At 34.2% G+C, this 18,638-nt stretch overlaps 1 protein-coding gene across 4 annotated transcripts in view; it reads right to left on the reverse strand.

The window, feature by feature from the left end:
- KLHL1 (kelch like family member 1) overlaps positions 1-18,638 on the reverse strand; it is a 407,856-nt gene that overhangs the window by 221,053 nt on the left and 168,165 nt on the right. For all 4 annotated transcript variants that reach the window (NM_001286725.2, NM_020866.3, XM_017020678.3 and 1 more), the window contains one exon: positions 18,391-18,587. In NM_001286725.2, coding sequence (NP_001273654.1) covers positions 18,391-18,587 — 197 coding nt within the window. The remainder of the gene's footprint in view (positions 1-18,390; positions 18,588-18,638) is intronic.

Consider the following 18,638-nt stretch of genomic DNA (forward strand, 5'->3'; position numbering starts at 1 on the left):
CTTTTACATGCCCTCACTCCAATAATCATTCATTTGTTTATTCAATCAAAACAATATTTTTTCAAATTTTAGTTGAGGCAGATCAATAGCCTCTAGCTTTTAAAAAATTAGTGTCTAATGAGAATTCAGAATAAATAATATACAAAAGATGTAGTCAGTTCCGCATAGATATAAGAACAAGGTTATACAAAAGCATAGTAATAATAAGCTTTCTGGGAGGCTAAGGGATAAGGGAGTACTTAGGGAGTTATAGATTTTTGTTGAATGATTGATTTTTTTTTTTTTTTTTTTTTTAAAGAGAGATGGTCTCACTCTGTCACCCAGGCTGGAGTGCAGTGGTGCAATCATACCTCACTGTAGCCTTGAACTACTGGGCTCAAGGCATTCTCTTGCCTCAGAATCCTGAGTAGCTGGGACTAAACGTGCACACGACAGTGCCTGGCTAAGTTTTAAAATTTATTTGCCTTCCTTTTTTTTAATATAAAGAATATCTCACCTTGTTACCCAGGCTGGTCTCTAACTCCTGGTCTCAAGGGATTCTCCTGCCTTGGCCTGCCAATGTGCTCGGATTACTTGTGTGAACCGTCACACTGGCCTAGGAAGTTATATTTCAGAGTTGAAAATTAAAATTTTAAGGGTACAGAGGAGGAAAAGATAAGGCATATTTGGTAGAAGAGAGAATAACGTGTAAGGACACAAAGTGGTGAAGTACGAAATGGTGGAGAACAGTAAATATCTGGTATAGTAAAATAGCAGGTATTAACAGGGAAATGTGATCACATAACTGGAAAAGTAGGTCCGAGTTTATAAAAAGACTGTTTGCTAATAGCTTATACTTATTATGTTTGATAGGAACTGCTTAAGATGTTAAATTGGAAATAGATTTAATTAGATTTGGATTTAAGGAAAGTAACCTCCTAATTTAAGAAAAGTAAATAATAAAATGTTATTTCATTTTCATTGGAAAATGTATGATTTAATTCAGCTCCTGTGTAGCTCAATAACAAGCAAAATTAAAAAAACATATTTATAGGGATACAGATATATTTGGTAAATATATTACAAAGAACAAATTTACAGAAAACACAAAACTCTCACTATTCTCATAGGAGAGTTTCACCATTGAAAGAGAAGCAGAGAGGATTTCAAGGCATGCAGACGTAGAACTGTAGTTAAAAAGGTCTATTCCTTAAGTTGGGTAGTACTTTCATGGAAAGTTACTAGAGTTTTATTCCTTATCACATTAATATATACTCTCAATTTCAAATATTATATAAAATATTCAAAAGTGAATAAATAATACATAAAGATGAAATATTTGAAAGCATTGCAAATGAATTTCAATATTACATAATGAATTATTTAAAGAATTAGGTGGGAGGAGACAGAAGATGGAAGCAAATGCAACCCTCTCTGTTCTTCCATCCTCCTTACCCTCCCCAGAATGAGACACTTAACAAAGAGGTGAACTCCAGATAAAATGGGAAGAAGGTTCATCAAATGGTAAAACAGAAAGAATAGTAGTAAAGACTGTTCCCAAATTCAAGGTCAGGGGAACCCTCAAATAGATATAGTTCATTAACGTTAAATACTGATGAAAATTGGAACAGAAAAACAAAATTAAATATTTAAACCATGGAGTCACTGGCCCACTTTGCCAGAAGTAATTTTGTAGCTTGGTGGAGGGTGACTCTATGCTGCAATGGGGATTCAAGTATGTCTCCGTTGGAGTTGCTTAGAGGTGGTAATCTGTTTTGGAGGGCAGGTGCTAAAGTTCTTGTCTTCTTGAAATTGCAGGGAAAGCACAGAATACTACAGAGTGTCTATTACAGCTCAATCAAAAAATTACATTCTTAAGATGCTTTTATTTATACTTATTATTTTTAAAGTGCCATCTTGAATTAAAATGATTATTATTACTACTATGTTATCTTTGAGGTGATTTTAGTAGGTGCTTCTGGGAAGGAAGACACATTTATAAGAATAAAATAGTTGATGAAAAATTACAATATAAGGAGGAGAGTTAGTGAGAGACAATATAGTACTGATGAATATGGCAGTCCATCTAGAGCAGCTGCTGCGATGATGCCAGCTGCAGTGGAGGAGGTGCAGCCAGGGCTACATTTGCCATGGAAGAGGCAGAAGCCCTGCTGCCTTCTGAGTTGGCAGGGCAGGAGTTTGCACTTCCCAGGCGCAGCTGCAGCTGCCCAAGCTGCAGCTGTGGGCCCAGGCATCTCTGCACTCTTGGGGGCCTGGGAAGCCCCACCCTGCCACCACAGGCTTGAAAGTGCCTGCTCCTGCTGCCTGGCCTCTTCCTACTCCCGGCACCTGCTCTGATCTTGGAACACAGTTGAGGCTAAGCCCGAGGGCTGTTGCAATTCAGCCACGTGTGCACATGCCTGCAGCAGTGCTGACATGCCAACTCCCTGCTGCCTCGACCCCCTCTGGACCTTGGGCACCGATAAGCATGGGAGGGAGGCCAAGGAGGGAGCTTGGTGCTGGCTTGCAGGTGCTCCTCAGCACAAACAGCCTGGGCACCATTGATGACAGCAGAAAGCAGACAGGCTTTTGTGTGGAAAGGGGTAGGTACCTGGTGAAATCCCACCTTCAAGCCAGGGATGCACTGAAGCCTGAGGGCTGTGCTGATGGAACAGAATGGGAACTTACTGTGCTTTTTCCGGGCCTGCCCATGGCTGTCCATGAAGCAATCAGCATTCACTTCTTCCCCTCTGAAGCCCATAAAACCCCCCAGACTCAGCCAGACTCGAGAGTCATTTGGATGGCCAGCTGCAGAAAGGAGCTACTCACTCCAGGGTCTCACCCCTTCTGAGAGCTGAACACTCATTGGGACACCCTAGCTGCAGAGTGAAGCTACCCACAGAAAGTCTCTTCTGAGCTGTTCTATCACTTAATAAAACTCCTGTTTGTCTTGCTGACCCTCCACTGATCCACATACCTCCTTCTTCCTGGGCACGGGACAAGAACTCAGGACCCACCAAATGGTGGGGCTGAAAGCTGTAACACAAACAGAGCTGAAACACGCCCCTTGCTCATCACGTTGTGTACAACAAGAAGGAGAGAAGAGCAGCCGCCCTTTAGGGAGCCCAGACCTAAGAGCTCCCTGAGCCAGGGCTGTGACACCCTCTTTGGGGCTCTGTGATTCCTGGCATCTCCTAGCTTCCAGATACCACCATGTTCCCCAGTGCCAGCTGTGGAAGCTGTTTGTGGGACGCCTGGTCCAGCCACAGCCTTGCAGGGAGCTGGCACCTGTGCCAGCAAATAGAGCTGCTCACCCTCCTGCAGTCAGCATGTCTGGCTGTGCACAGTGGCCAGATCCCATGCTACCTCGCTCACACACTCCTTGCCACTCTGCTTTCCCTTGGCAGGCATGGGATTCAGGCTGGTAGTGCAAGCTGGGGACAGCCTCACAGGCTGAGTGGGTCCAGCAGGTTCAATCAAAACTCAGGCAAAGGCACCACCGGACACAGAGGTTTTCAGCTGGTGAAGCAACATCCCAAGTATCCCATAACAGTATTATGGTTAAAACTTCAGATTTTTTTGTCTAGTTTTCATAATTTGAATTCTAGCTCCAACACTCATTGAGCACAGTTCAGTGAGCTAATGACCTTGTCTGTGCTTCAAAATTTTAGCTGTAAAGATGCTACTTACAGCACTATTAGGATGAAAACAGTTAATATAATATATGTAAAACACTTAGAACACAGTCTGGCATATAATAATCCACTACTATAATTATTAATATTTTAGTGCAATCATGAAGAAATTGTAATTCTTTGCTTTTTCTTGCCCCTCTTTGTATTGTTAAGAAATATTATGCAGCTCTTATAAATAAGACACATATATGACAGTATCACTAATATCACATGTGAACATTGACACTGTTGAAGGATTATTTAATTTACTAGAAGAATATGACTTTGTATGATTCACCATATCTATCTGAAATTATATATTAATTTGCAGAAGACTGATAGTTGTAAATGATTTTTGCCCTCTGAAAAAAATAAACTCTAACATTTGAAGTTTTATTGCCTTATATGACATTAACTGGTTTCGTCTTTACAAGTTAATTTCAACATTATTTTTTGTAGTGACTTTAGTCTCCTTAAACTTATATTACCATCATGTTGTTACTCTCATTCATGAGATAAATATGAGATAAATAATTTAGCTTGTATACTGTGTGAGTTATGGTTTTTACTTTGCAATAGAGTCATGTTTTAACTTCTTGAAAATGTATACCTAGTTGTTAATAAGTTCACCAGCTACATTTTCACCTCATATAGCAGCATATCAACAATAATCAAATACAATACATATGCATTCACTAATTAATGTTGGACCTCCTTTCAAGTCAGTCTATATAGCAAGTTCATTCTCTTTTAACCTTGCACAATATTCTATAGTTGTAAATATTATCCCAATAAACGTTTCTAGTTTTTTATTATTAAAGTAACTTTAATCATCACAGCTGTTCGGTTTGATTTAGGGGAGATGCTCTCAAACATCCTGCAACATGTGTTTTCGTGATGTGGATTGATCTGCAGAGTCAAAGGGTGGCATATTGCCCACACCTAACCAGTCAGAAGTGCAACTGATGGGAAATTCAAGGATTATTATATAGCTTAAGTTATTTAAAAAGCATATATTAAATGCCATGACTTTAAAAAAAATAAACATTATGGGAAGACTAATTGCAAGTATGCTAATAGTTCAAGTTAGAATAAAATAATTACATCAATATACCAACAAAGCACCTGAGTATCTATAAAATAAGAACCTCGATTTCCTCATAAAACATCTCATGTCCATAGATCAGTAAACTTAACATTTTTAAGATAGTAATACTCTCTGAATTATCTGTAGACTAAATGTAATGCCTATCAAAATCCTAGCTGGCTATTTGCAGAAATTGGCAAGATAATACCAATTTCATATGAAAATATAGGGAACCAAAAATAGTCAAAATATTGGAATAAGAATGCCAAGAATTCAGGCCGGGCGCGGTAGCTCAAGCCTGTAATCCCAGCACTTTGGGAGGCTGAGGCGGGTGGATCACGAGGCCAGGAGATGGAGACCATCCTGGCAAACATGTTGAAATCCCGTCTCTACTAAAAATACAAAAAATTAGCTGGGTATGGTGGCGGGTGCCTGTAGTCCCAGTTACTTGGGAGGCTGAGGCAGGAGAATGGCGTGAACCTGGGAGGCAGAGCTTGCAGTGAGCTAAGATCACACCACTGCACTCCAGCCTGGGTGACAGAGTGAGACTCCATCTCAAAAAAAAAAAAAAAAAAAAAAAAGCAGAGAATTCACACTTCCCAATTTCAAAATTTTCACCAATTTGATTTACAGTAAAACAAGAGAATGCGGTACTGGCATAAAGACACACATAGTAATCAATGAAAAAGAATTGAGAGTCCAGAAATAAAATCTCATATTTATAGTCAATTGATCTTGGTGAAAATTCCATGGAGAAAAATGTTATTTTCAACATGTGCTGTTACACACGCAAAATGTATACATGTGTACACATGATACACACATGCAAAATAATAAAGTTACACCTTTACTTCACACCATATAAAAATTAACTCAAAGTGAATCAAAGAGCTAAATATAAGAGCCAAAGTCACAAAAGACAACATATGTGGGAATCTTTGTGACCTTGGATTGGTTAAACGTTCCTTAACTGTAACACCAAAAGCACAAGCAATAAAAGAAAAATGGATAAATCTGACAACATTGAAATTTAAAACTTTGTCCTCATTGAGAAAACACTTTCTCATCAGGAAAGTGAGAAGCGACCCACAAAATTTAAGAAAAGGTTTGCAAATCATATAGTTGATACGAGATTTATATCTAGAATATTTAAATAACTTTTACAACTAAGTAATTTTTCAAAACTCAATTAAAAATGGTCAAGAGTTCTAAGCAACATTTCTCCAAAGAGGATATATAAATGTCCAATAAATTCACAAAAATTTGCTCAGTTTCATTAGACATAGGAAAATCACAAACAAAAACCACGAAATACTATTTTACACATACTAGGATGGCTATAATCAATAAAAAACAACAAAAATTATTGGCAAGTATGTAGTTCTTCACATACTGTTGAATGGATTATGAAATGTACAGCTAGGTTGGAAAACAGTCTAGTAGTTTCTCAGAATGTTAAACATGGAGTTATTGTATAACCATATCACTCCCAGGCACATACACCCCCAAATGAAAATATTATGTTCACACAATAACTTGTATATGAATGTTCATAGCAGTCAAGCTATCCTCACAGGATTAACAAGAATGCTGGACAGAAATATAATTAAGCATTAATTAGGCTACAGTTTGGGCCATGTCCTTGTGGTTTCATAGAAAGTCACATAGCACTACATACTAACCATTGGCACCCCCATTGTTCCTATAGATAGAATTTCAGACATTAGAATCATTAGGCTTTTGTTTAAGAATTGCTTAAGATGTTTTTCAGAACCTGAATTCCAGTGGAACAGCTGATGCCAACCTGTTTGAAGACTCTCATAGAGGAAAATCATCAGCTACAGAATAGTTTCTTCATCTCCTTGTTCCATAACTTCACCTTGCAGTTTCCCGCCAATTGACAATCTCCACACTTCAGCCCACTCAAAAACTTAAACATCCGATTCCCTAACTTTTCAGGGAGACAGATTTGAGGTTTCCTCATATCTTCTCATATGTCAGCCGTATGAATAAACCTCTTTGTCTGCTGCAACCAGGTATCTCAGCATATTAACTTGCCATGGGCATTGGGCTACAAACCTATTAAAATTACAGCAGCATTATTCATAAGGGGCCCAAAGTGTAAACAACTCAAATGTCCATCAACCGATGAATGGATAAATAAAATGAGGCATATCTATACAATGCTATAGTATTTCACAATACAAATAAATAAATTACTGATACATGGTAAAACATAAATGAGTCTTGAGTATATTATGCTAAGGGAAATAAATCAAATCTCACAAAACCACATATTGTATGATTCCACTTTTATTAAATGCCCATCAATTGAATATCTATATAGATGAAGGTAGATTATTCCTAGCCTAAGGAGGTAAATGGAGAGCGAATAGGTAGAGGTATCTTGGCGAGGTGATTGAAATGTTCTACAAGTGATAGTGGTGATAGTTGCACAACTCTGAAAATACTAAAAGGCATTAAATTGTATAATTTTAATTGGTGAATTGTATGGTATATAAGTCATATCTCCACGATGTATTATAAAAGATATAAATTTGAAAGTAGAAAAATATTTATTCATTCTTCACCAATTATTGATCATCTCTTATGCTCAAATAATGTTTTGTGGGGACATAACAGTTTTATTACTTAATGACAAGACGGCACTTATCAACATTATCCAGACATGCATTTGCATTTTATAAAATTTAAGATTTAACAAGATATTTGTAGAATCATAAGCTGCAAAGAACCACAAAGGACCATTTTGGCGATCTTAAACAAACTTCATTGCTTCACAGTTAATGATAAACACATCAAGTGAGCTACTCAAAGACACCCAGTTGTATTAAACATTGTTAAAACGTCAAGCCTTCTGGTTTTCAAGAATTGAAATTATTCTGTGTTTTATCTCATTTTATATTCAAAGTAGGTATTGAAATCTCAAACGCCTTCAGTAATTGGGAAGATAATAAAAAAATTTAAATAATTGAGGTAAAAATAAGACTGTTGGTCTACAGTAAAACAGAAGAGTAAAAACATATTCAGGGTAAAATTAAAAGGGGTAGCCTAGACTTTTGGCCTGTGGTTTAAAGAAGGACTTAATAAGTTATCTAGTTTAGTCTATGTGTACCTAGTTGGAATTACTTGGATTACTTATGCCAAGATTTTGAACATGTTTTTCCTTTAATTTTGGTGGTGCTGTATCATCTCATATATTATTTTAAAATTGAACTTCAATGAATGTCATAAATTCTAGTATTTTATTAATTAAATTTTAGATCAATATTTAATGCTAAGAATATATTATGCTAGTTGTAAAATAATTTCATTATTAGTCATATTTTTGGGTTAAAACAGCAATGGCCACAAAACTATTTGCACGGGATTATGGGCTTTTCAAAATAAAATTCTGATATACATTACATTGCCTTTTCTAAATAAAACAATGGCAACTCTTGATTACCATATATACTCAGGACTTTGTTCTTTGATCAATAAAATAAATATATTTTAATAATGTTGTCTGATATTGAAGGCTACTATTGAATGAAGAATTGATGGTTGGCTGGTGTTATCCTGCTCGCTCCAGCTGATTTGGGAAGTTGGTAAATTTTTCAGCTGTTAAGATATCAGAAAAATTATTTATTTTAGGTTGGAAATAGTAGCATCACTGATTCACATCTCTTTTGCCTAGGTTTCCAAAGATGCACTTTGAGAAATTTATAGATCCTGTTGTTTAGCTTATGTTTATTAGCAAGTTTTATATGAAATAAATCACTCATATTTCTGCCTTCATGAGATAAATTAAGGTAATAATCCTCAGAGCATTTTATGATGTAAAAAATGTGAAAGAAAAAGAAAGTGCATCCATTTACTATGATGGATTTCAAGTGAATTCATCAAGGTATTTTTTATTCTAAATGTTCTAGTAAAATAATATTCTGTGCAAAGTGATGTTGCAGTCTATTGACAACTAAACCATTACAAAGTACCAAAAGCTTTTCAAATGCACACCACATCATTGGTCACTTAAAAACCAAGCTTTAGAGTACTTGAGAATAGTTGAGATTTTCAAGTTTTCAATATTTTATGACATACTCTCTGATAGTCTTGCTGAATAATTAAGAAAATACAATTTGTGAATCTCCTTCCAAAGAATACAAAACTATATCAATGCATCCTCAAATGATATTTTCCTGCACATACAACAAAGCAAACTTAACTAATAAAGGCAATATGCCATTGTTGTTTATATATTATTTACGCTTTTTCTAGTTCTGTATCAAATTTATAAAAGCATAAAATGTGAAAGTTAGTAGGATAATGATCACACAAGTGTATAATACATGATCTGTGGAAAGTGTGGATTTTTAAAACAATCCAAACTAAGGCCATTATAGAATTCATTCCTTAAAACTACAGCCTTTTTCTGATTTATATATTCAGTTAATGCTGATACAGGTGTCTATTTATGTATGTAAATTTATGCATATATGCGTTAATCAGTGACTACATATAAAAAGCCCTGATTTTAACTTCATCAATTTTCTTCTAGCTCAACTGCAATATATAATATTTACTTGTAAAACTACCTTTTACATTTCATGGTATGTACTATTACCACCTTAATTTGTTACTATCATATATTCTTACCCATATATCAGACGTCAAATTAGAAACACTACTTTATAAAATGATAATTCACTTACTCTCTTTTCAAATATAACTGCAGAGAAACTAATTTCCATCTATATATATTTGGAAACCTCTTCATGTAATTTTAATTTTAGATTCAACTAATGTGAAAATTGTCTTTAAGAAATGGTTACTATAATATCTAGCCTGAATATTTACTCAGTGTTAAATAAATCTACTAAGATTTACTATTGGTGAAATAGTTCATTTTGCTGAAAAGTGTTTGCTCTTCATTATCTTTAAGAAATCACCTATTTTGCTAATTGTAAATCACACAATTTTAATTGAGCTGAAGTTTCCCTATCATCACATTGCCCAAATTAACTTTGTCTTGCATAAAACATGACTGCTTATTGGAAATAAGCTCCCAACCTAAAGTACATTGGTCTGGCTTTGAATCCCGTTCTTTAAAGTTTTGTCCTTTTCTACTTACTATTATCCAGCAATTTTCTATTATGATGTGTTATTTTATATAATCTTCAATCATAGGAAAATATAACACATTTGGCTTAGTATTATTTCTTCCTTTAGTATGTGACCTCTTTGTTGGCTCACTAGGTTTTATATTTGTTCCTCAATAGTATGGTGATACTTCAATGAAATGAAAACTTAACTAAGGATACCATTTATTTGAAATAAACAAAAATATTGAACACAGACACTGAGTAGAAAATAAATCCATTGACACTTATTTTAACTTAAAAACAGGAACAGAAATTAGATGGGAAATTATGTTACCTGTTAAAAAGTTTTGAAATAAATAGAAAAAAGTTAATGAATTTTAATCATCATGGATGCATCTTGTTATGCATTTGTTTCTTATTAAATTTTCTAATGAGGAGGTACAATAATAAAATTAGGCACAAAAATATTTTAAATTATTGTAGGATGCAGAGAAAATATTTTACTACAAATTACTTATATTCATATTTAAGATTATGATATCTAATTGTATATTTCAAATTATTAATATGCGAAAGTACTTATTCATCTATTCTTTCTTTCAGATATCATTATTGTGTGCCTAAAATGAGACAGGTGCTATACTAAGCATTAAGAATATGGCTGTGAACTGGACAGCTGTGTGTTGCCTTATACAGTCTAGCTCTATGCATAACTGATTTTTACCTGATCAGAAAATATAAATATTTTACAACATTGGTTCATGATAGGCAAATTATTATAAAGGGGGATTTTTGTATGTATAAAAACAGATTTTTTTCTCATTAAAAAAAGCAAATTATTGATTTTATTTGTGGAAGACTGTGCTTTATAAGTTGAAACGACCCTGGAAGACCCTGACATTTCTTCCTTCTGACATATCATAAGAAGTCCTTTTAGAATCACTCTAATAATGTAAGAATGTTTCTTATCCAGAAGGGAATACTACATCTTAAATGATTGAAATCATTAAATATTTAGGCACTACTTATAAGTTTAAATGTGTGTTTACAGGATATTTTAAAATGTTTAGTATTCCTTCTTGAAACTTTGTTAGTTATATTGTTGCCACAGCATCAACTTGAGACCTATGACAGCTCTTAAAAAATTTAACCTACTGTACCTAAGATATTTTTAATATATTGTGCTTGTGTGTGTGTGTGTTGCAGCTTTATATAGCTATGTGTTATATCTTAATGTTTTAGAAATCGAAGCTCAGTAGAACAAATAGAATAAAACAAAAATATGCAAATAAGGACACTAATTTTACCAATGACTCCAATTTGTAACACGAGTACAAATTGCCTGTAAAGAATAGTGAACAAGTTCTAGGGATCTAATTTACATAATGGGTAGCAATTGATGTGTTAATTAATTTGATTTTATTAATTTGATTTTGATAACCATAAAAAAAGAGTTCTCCATCTAATTCAGGGACAAAGAATGTTAAGAAATACAAAAACAAAAACAGAGGAAGAAGAGAAATTTCCTTTGTACCCAGCCTGCCACATTTTTACTTAGTTCTTTTCAACATTAAACATCACTAGTCATTGTCCCTTAAACGTTCATTATACTCACCCTGACCTTTTCATTTCATATATACTTACAAAGACATGCTGAAAGTCAAATTTTGGTAATTTTCAACTCATCAATTATATATAACTAGTTACTAAGACCACGAAGGCATGTGAGACACTGAAAAGGAGTAACACAAAATGATAAATAAAAGAAAAAAGATAACATTAAAAATCATTTAATACTAATGTATCATGTAATAGTCTTGAGAAAAATGTAGGTGAAGTAAACTTTATTTGTATGACTTATAAAACAAGAATATTTAAAGTTACACTCCAAATATTCTTCTAAGGCAAACTCTAATTTATGGTTTATTAGCAGGGTTATTGGTCAAGATTAAAAGCATGTAGCTAGCTAGAAACCATGAAACATGTCGGGTATTTTAAAACCATGATCACAAACCACATTGATATAGTTTGTTCTTTCTATAGGTATTTTTTCCAGTGGCTCTAAAGGACAAGTGAAGGATGTATAGCATGTTTTTACTACTACCAGATTCTGAAAGGGCAGCTACTCTTACACTGACTCTGGAAGGCTTTATGCTGCAGGTATGAGTCTTCCACCCTTCAAAGCTACTTATGAACAAGGCAGCCTTTAATTAGTCTTAGTGCCACCGTCTCTGCCTCCAGCCTAAACCTAATGAAATCTTCTAAGTCATACTGGTAGCACCGGACAGAAAACAGAGAAGGGGGAAAAAAAAATACTTGAGAAAAAAAAATCACAAAGTTCTTTGGTCTTATTTCTCTTTCAGGTTCATAATATCCATTTGTCTGAAGGAATTCATATTTTGTGTCTCGGTATCAGGAATTCGACTTAATATTATGGGCAATATGTAATCACGGTATATTCATTAGCATATTGAATAGGGCATGAAATCTGTAGTGAGATAGTACTGGGTTTATTATCCCATTCTAGCATGTCTATCTATTGATCCTGAGTAAATTATTTAACAATCCTGAATCACAGTTTTATTGTTTTTAAAATGGATATAACACTTGCCTTGCAGGGATTTTGAAAGGAGTAAATTTAATATATTTAACACCTAGAATTATAGTGGCAATAGGACAATATTTTAAACTTTATGTGTGCCATCACCAGCATCATTGGTGGTAAGGCTCGCCATCAGTAAAGCTGCTGCTTATGTGCCAAGCACGATGGCAGAAGGTAGCGTTACCTCACTCTCTTTTTTATTTCTCAGTCTCCGAATATGTGGATGTGAGTATATATCACATCTTATATTACATCTTATAATTTTTCTTTGTAAAATTTACCTATATGTATACACAGACGTATACATACATACATATATAGGCATATGTAATTGTCATTTATAATGATAATTTATCATTATAAACAAATTATGTGAGTGGGTGTATACGCCTCTAGGGTATACTAATCTCTATTCTTAGTTTCTCTTCTTGCCTTCCTTTTATGTCAGTCTGATAACTCATCTTAAAATTAAACCTTTGTCCTTACTTGTTCAAAATGTTCAATGGCATATTATTATATTCCAGATAAATCCCCAGTTTTTACAAAGTCTCCATAACCCTACACAATTGGTTCTGCCTAGATCTTCAGCCTCATAAACTACCTCTCTTCTTGTCCCTCTCCACCATCCCATCTACCTTGAATTTCATTAAACAGAACAATTGCCTTCCCACTTCAGATCATTGGCAATCCATTTTCTTCTGTTATGAACATTCTTTAACCAAATCTACACCTGACTAATTCTACCTCATTTTTTACAATTCATATAAACATCATTTATTTAAGGAATCTTTTCCTGATTTATGGGAGGGTTCCCATTGCGTCTCATAATTTTTCTTTGTAAAATTTACCGTGTGTGTGTGCATGTGTATATATATATATATATATATATATATGTATATATATACATATTATCATTATAAAGTATCATTATCATTATAAAGTATTATAAAGTATACACATACACATATATAGGCATAAATAGTTATACTTTATAATGATAATTTGTTTTCATTCAATATATTAACCTTGACTCTAAGGGCAATATCATTTCTATTTTGTTCACCATTGCATTTCCTGTGCCACCTACTGGTGAACGTGGTACATAGTTGGTACTGGTGAACTTGGTACATAGTTCACCCACTGGTGAACTTGGTACATAGTTCACCTACTGGTGAACTTGGTACATAGCAGTCAATAGTCACTATACCTTCATTTATTCATTCAGTAATTAATCGTATATATGGAGATTTATCTAGGCACTTATGTTACAAAAGTTGTTTTATGTTATCAAGAAGCTACTATATTAATTGAGCAGATAGACAACAAAAACAACAATAACAAAAACAAATATATATTATAAAGCCAGGAACTAAACAAGGACTCTAAAAAATAAAAAAGGAGTGTAAGAGAATAGAGAGTTTTGAAGGTACTGGCACATAACATGGAGTTTTCAGAGAATGAGTCTCTGTAGAAGTAACATTTGACAAAGATCTGAATGAGGTAGAGAAGAAACAGATATAAATATTTGGCAGAAGAGTATTTCCATCAGAGGGAAGAAAGAACAAGCACAAGACTCCACAAGTGAAGTTATGCTTAGTGTTGTCAAAAAACAGTAAGAAGATCAGTGTGGCTAGAACTGTATGAACAGGGAAAATAATAGCAGAAAATGTGATTTTAAAAATGTCAAAGGCACACACTTGTAGTCTTGTTGAATGAGTAAATTAAAGAAAGTCCTGCAAAAGTACCCAAGAGAAACAGGGAATTGATGAATGTATTACAAGATACTAGACACTTTGATGGAACAAAAAAATTCAATGGAGAATGCTTCTTCTCTTGTCATAAAGAAATCCGCAATATATTTGTAAAGACTAGTCACAAAGAAATAAAAATAATTAATTGTATAAGAAAGTTTATGATATCACACAATCCTAAAGAAAGGAATACTAGGATTTCATTTGTGAGAGCTAATGCCATGAAAAGTTTAAAGATATTTCTTGGGCATGAATGAACTTGAACTAGAAACAGGGAGAGATTATTCAGAATTTGATAATGGATTCCAACAAGAGGAAGGTCTGAGTTAAGTAAGAGTGAAGGAACCATACAACACATATTTAGCAGGAATGAGAGCAATTGCATCTAACATTGAGGAAAAATGCCTGGGTAGCAGCTTAGAGGGTAGGTGTGGAGGACTATGTATATCAGAATATGGAGGCCTGGTGTGATGGCTCATGCCTGTAATCCCAGCACTTTGGGAGGCCAAGGCAGGTGGATGACCTAAGGTCAGGAGTTTGAGATCAGTCTGACCAACAAGGTGAAACCTCGTCTCTACTAAAAATACAAAAATTAGCCAGGTGTGGTGACAGGTGCCTGTAGTCCCAGTTACTTGGGAGTCTGGGACAGGAGAATTGCCCGAACCTGGGAGGCGGAGGTTGCAGTGAGTGGAGATTACGCCTCTGCACTCCAGCCTAGGTGACAGACAGAACGAGACTCCATCTCAAAAAAAAAAAAAAAAAAATGAAGATTGAACATGCTATGATGCTATGTTGAAGCATGTTTTGAATTTTTTTTAATTAAGAAAATAAAACACTCAATGTTCTAAGTTTAAAAGATATGAATAGAGAATTGAAGGTTTAAACAGCCATTGAAAAAACTATGAAGGTCAGGGAAGTTTCTACTGAAGATTTCAACCTTCATTTCAACATGAATTTTCTCAAAAGCACTCTGCAAAGACACTGCATTCCTCAAGAACCTCCAGAGGCCTCCCAACAATGGTGTCAGCCTGCAACAGTGGGGTAAATAGCTTTGATCACTCGCTTGTAACTTATTTTACTTTTCCATTTACCTACATATCTTCCTGCAACTGCCCGTGGAGAATAATGGCTGCTGCTTCTCTTCCAGCTTTCATATCTTACATGAATGCCTCTTATTGGCAAGATCTAACCAAAAACCATCTAGAGAAAGGATTGCTGGATAAAAATGTTCCACGTGTGTCCCCCAAAAGGCAGAGCTGACTTTGGAGGGAAGTAGCAATGATGACCAGTGGGAATTGACAACTCAGCAGGGAAGGAAAGATCTGGAGATGGAAGTTGACTCTGGACTTTCTGCCCATCTTTACCCAAAGCAGATCAATTCTAAAACTATACTTTGATATAATATTTAATTTGAACAGAGAATTGCATTAGTAAAATAAATTTAAAAACAGAATGAGAAACACTTAAAGACCACTGCTTTAAACACAAGTCCATTCTATCAAATATATGACAGTTATTGTCATGCCTTAATTTTATTCTGGCATAGGCAGCCATTTTTTCAACTTTTCTTCATATTTCATAACCACATAAAATTTACTATTCTTGTTATTCTAATCTGTTTCCGTTTGCCACTCTCTACTGCTTTTAAAATGTTATATCCAGAATTAAGCACAAATTTCATAATATAATCTAAGAGAGTACAATGAGACTATTTCCTTCAGTGCTGCTATTCTGGTGCTATCTCTATATTCATGCAGACACAGTTTACATTAATGTTTCAGAATTAATTTTACACTTCTACCTGATGCTGAGCTCGCAATCAAAATTCTCCAGTATTTTGCATGATTCATTGCCAAGCTGAGTCACCTTCCCAAAAGATTTCGGAATTATTTGCACAAATTCAGTAGCTGAAGCCAAATACATAAGTGAAATTTCCAAAGGAAAGATGACAAATAATAAAGAAGAGAAATATAGATAGCAAATTAAAGTCTGGGTAGACCAGACCTTTGGTCTTTGAAGATCAAGTTTACATCTAAAGAGTTTGGGCAAGAAATTTAAAAATTTTGAAAGTGTTCCTTATGTATTAAGCAATCAGACAAATAATTACAGTCAGGAGAGAAGTTAATTCTATCCCACGTGTAGTAGAAAAAATGGAATGATTTGCTATTAAAGCAGTTAAGGAGAAAAAAAAACACACACAATATGTTTGCTTTCAAAGCACAGATTGGGTAGATTAGATGAGAACATATGCCTGATTGGACAAGGATCAGAGGCAAATATGTGATGATAAATCACATTATCAGATGCAAAACACTCATTTTAAACTGCTGGAACTGAAGGGACAATATAGATCTGGGAAGACAACTGGTCAGTAATTTTTCTCTAAAATGGTTACCATAAACATCTATAGAATACCAGAGCATCACATTTTCAAAATAATTTGAAATCATTTAAATTTCAGCAGATATTATATATCACAGTCTAAGAAATAAATTAATTTAGAGTCATTCAGAATGTTGAGTACCTTAGAAATCTTCTATTTTTCTGTTTTAAATATATTTTCCTATGAAGCATACCTTTTAAAGTCTCTGAAGAAAAAAATTTGTTACTATTGTGCGATAAATTGCAGAATAGTCCAAGCAGCTGCAAGGAAAATATTTTCATTATTAAATTAATAATTTGCAACTAGACCAGAAGGGACCATTATCCCTCTGGATATGGAGGCATATTTTTCTTTGGCTTAGTTAAGCCAGGAGCTCCTAAAGTTAATGAAATGTGCCTAATTAAATGGTGGCAGTTGGACTTTGATATTTTGGTTGATGAATTATTTGTTTACTTTGATTTGCTATGGTTCACATAATTTCAAAGGTAGCATCGTGTCTGTCATGGAAAATTTCTAAAGAAGGATTTGCCAATAGAATTACAAATTGCATATCTTCTTCCTTTTATTTCTATATTTTCATTTAATTTAGTAATCTGCTTAAAGGATTAAAAAGGAAAAAGAAAATAATTTTGAAACTCTGTTTCAAAATGGCAATCAGAATACTTTTAAGTGGTTGACTCATTAGCAATTAGAAAAAGTGTTCAATTTGAAATAAATAGCAACCATAAAGCTTAACAATATTTATCTCATTTTAATTCTTTCTTTGAGTTGGAGACAAAAATTTCCATAAGACTTCATTAGTTGTTTCAATAATAACAATGAAGACATTAATAATATGAATAATAATATCACAGTAAAAATAGGTAGCATTGATACAGGGCGTCTATGCCAGGCACCCATGCTATTAAATGCTTTTAGAATGATTATTTCTAGGATAGGTAATATGATGGGTATGAGACTTGTAACTGGTTATTCTATCCTAGAATGGAATTAATATTTTTAAAATCCCATGCTATAAAGTACACAAATTTAAACTGTACAATTGAAATGGCTTTTAGATTCTCTACAAAGCTGTTAAATATACACACTCATATATATACATATACATACATATATATATATATATATATATATATATATATATATATACACACACACACGCACACACATACAGGGAATAAAAGGGAAAAATATAAAATAGGCTTCAATTTTTTCCATAAAATCATACTGGCATAGCCACACCAAGTACAATATGCTGTGACGGAGAGGTTTAAAAAATGCAGAAAAATGTATAAAAGGGCAGCTGTGGAAGTGAATGTACAAAGGTAGATATGCCTGGGGCAATTTTGAAAATCAGTTTAAATAACTTTATTAATATCTATCAATATGTATATCTGTATTGCCTGTTAAGTGTGCATAAAGCCATAAAGAAGCTTCCTGAATGCAACACGTGGAGGTTCCTGGAGGGTTATGTGCCCAGGGAGGGCCTGGAGCCTATGCGCCCCTCTCCTCATACCTCACCCTACACATCTCTTCATCTGTATCCTTTGCAATGTCTTTTATGATAAACCAATAAATGTAAAATAAAATAAAAAATAAATCCACAAAAGAACAATAAATCCAGTATAGAATGTGTTTTTTAAAATTAGAAAATACATTATGGTACGCTATAGTTCATAACAAAAAAATGTGCCAAGCATAGAAAACTCATTTTAAACTTAAAAAACTTGCTAATGCCATGACAGTAATTATTTTTACCTCTGATAACACAGAGTGTGTCTCCATTATTAAAACATTAAGTTTCCTTACCATTGTGTAGCTGTGGGCCACCTTCATTAACTCAATGCATCCTTGAGCATCTGCGAAGGCTCGAATTCCTAAACAGTTAGATGGATGCAAAAGCTTCATGAGGAAGTGGCAGCACACTTCCACCACCTGTGGAAGCTGAAGAAGGCACGCTGCAGCAAGAAGGTTCTCAATGGTGTCCTCTTTTAATTCCAAGCAGCCTAAACATAAGCAAAGATAATTATGAAACTCTTTTAAAAACATGAAATAAT

Source organism: Homo sapiens, chromosome 13 (assembly GCF_000001405.40).
Source record: "Homo sapiens chromosome 13, GRCh38.p14 Primary Assembly".
NCBI lineage: Eukaryota > Metazoa > Chordata > Mammalia > Primates > Hominidae > Homo > Homo sapiens.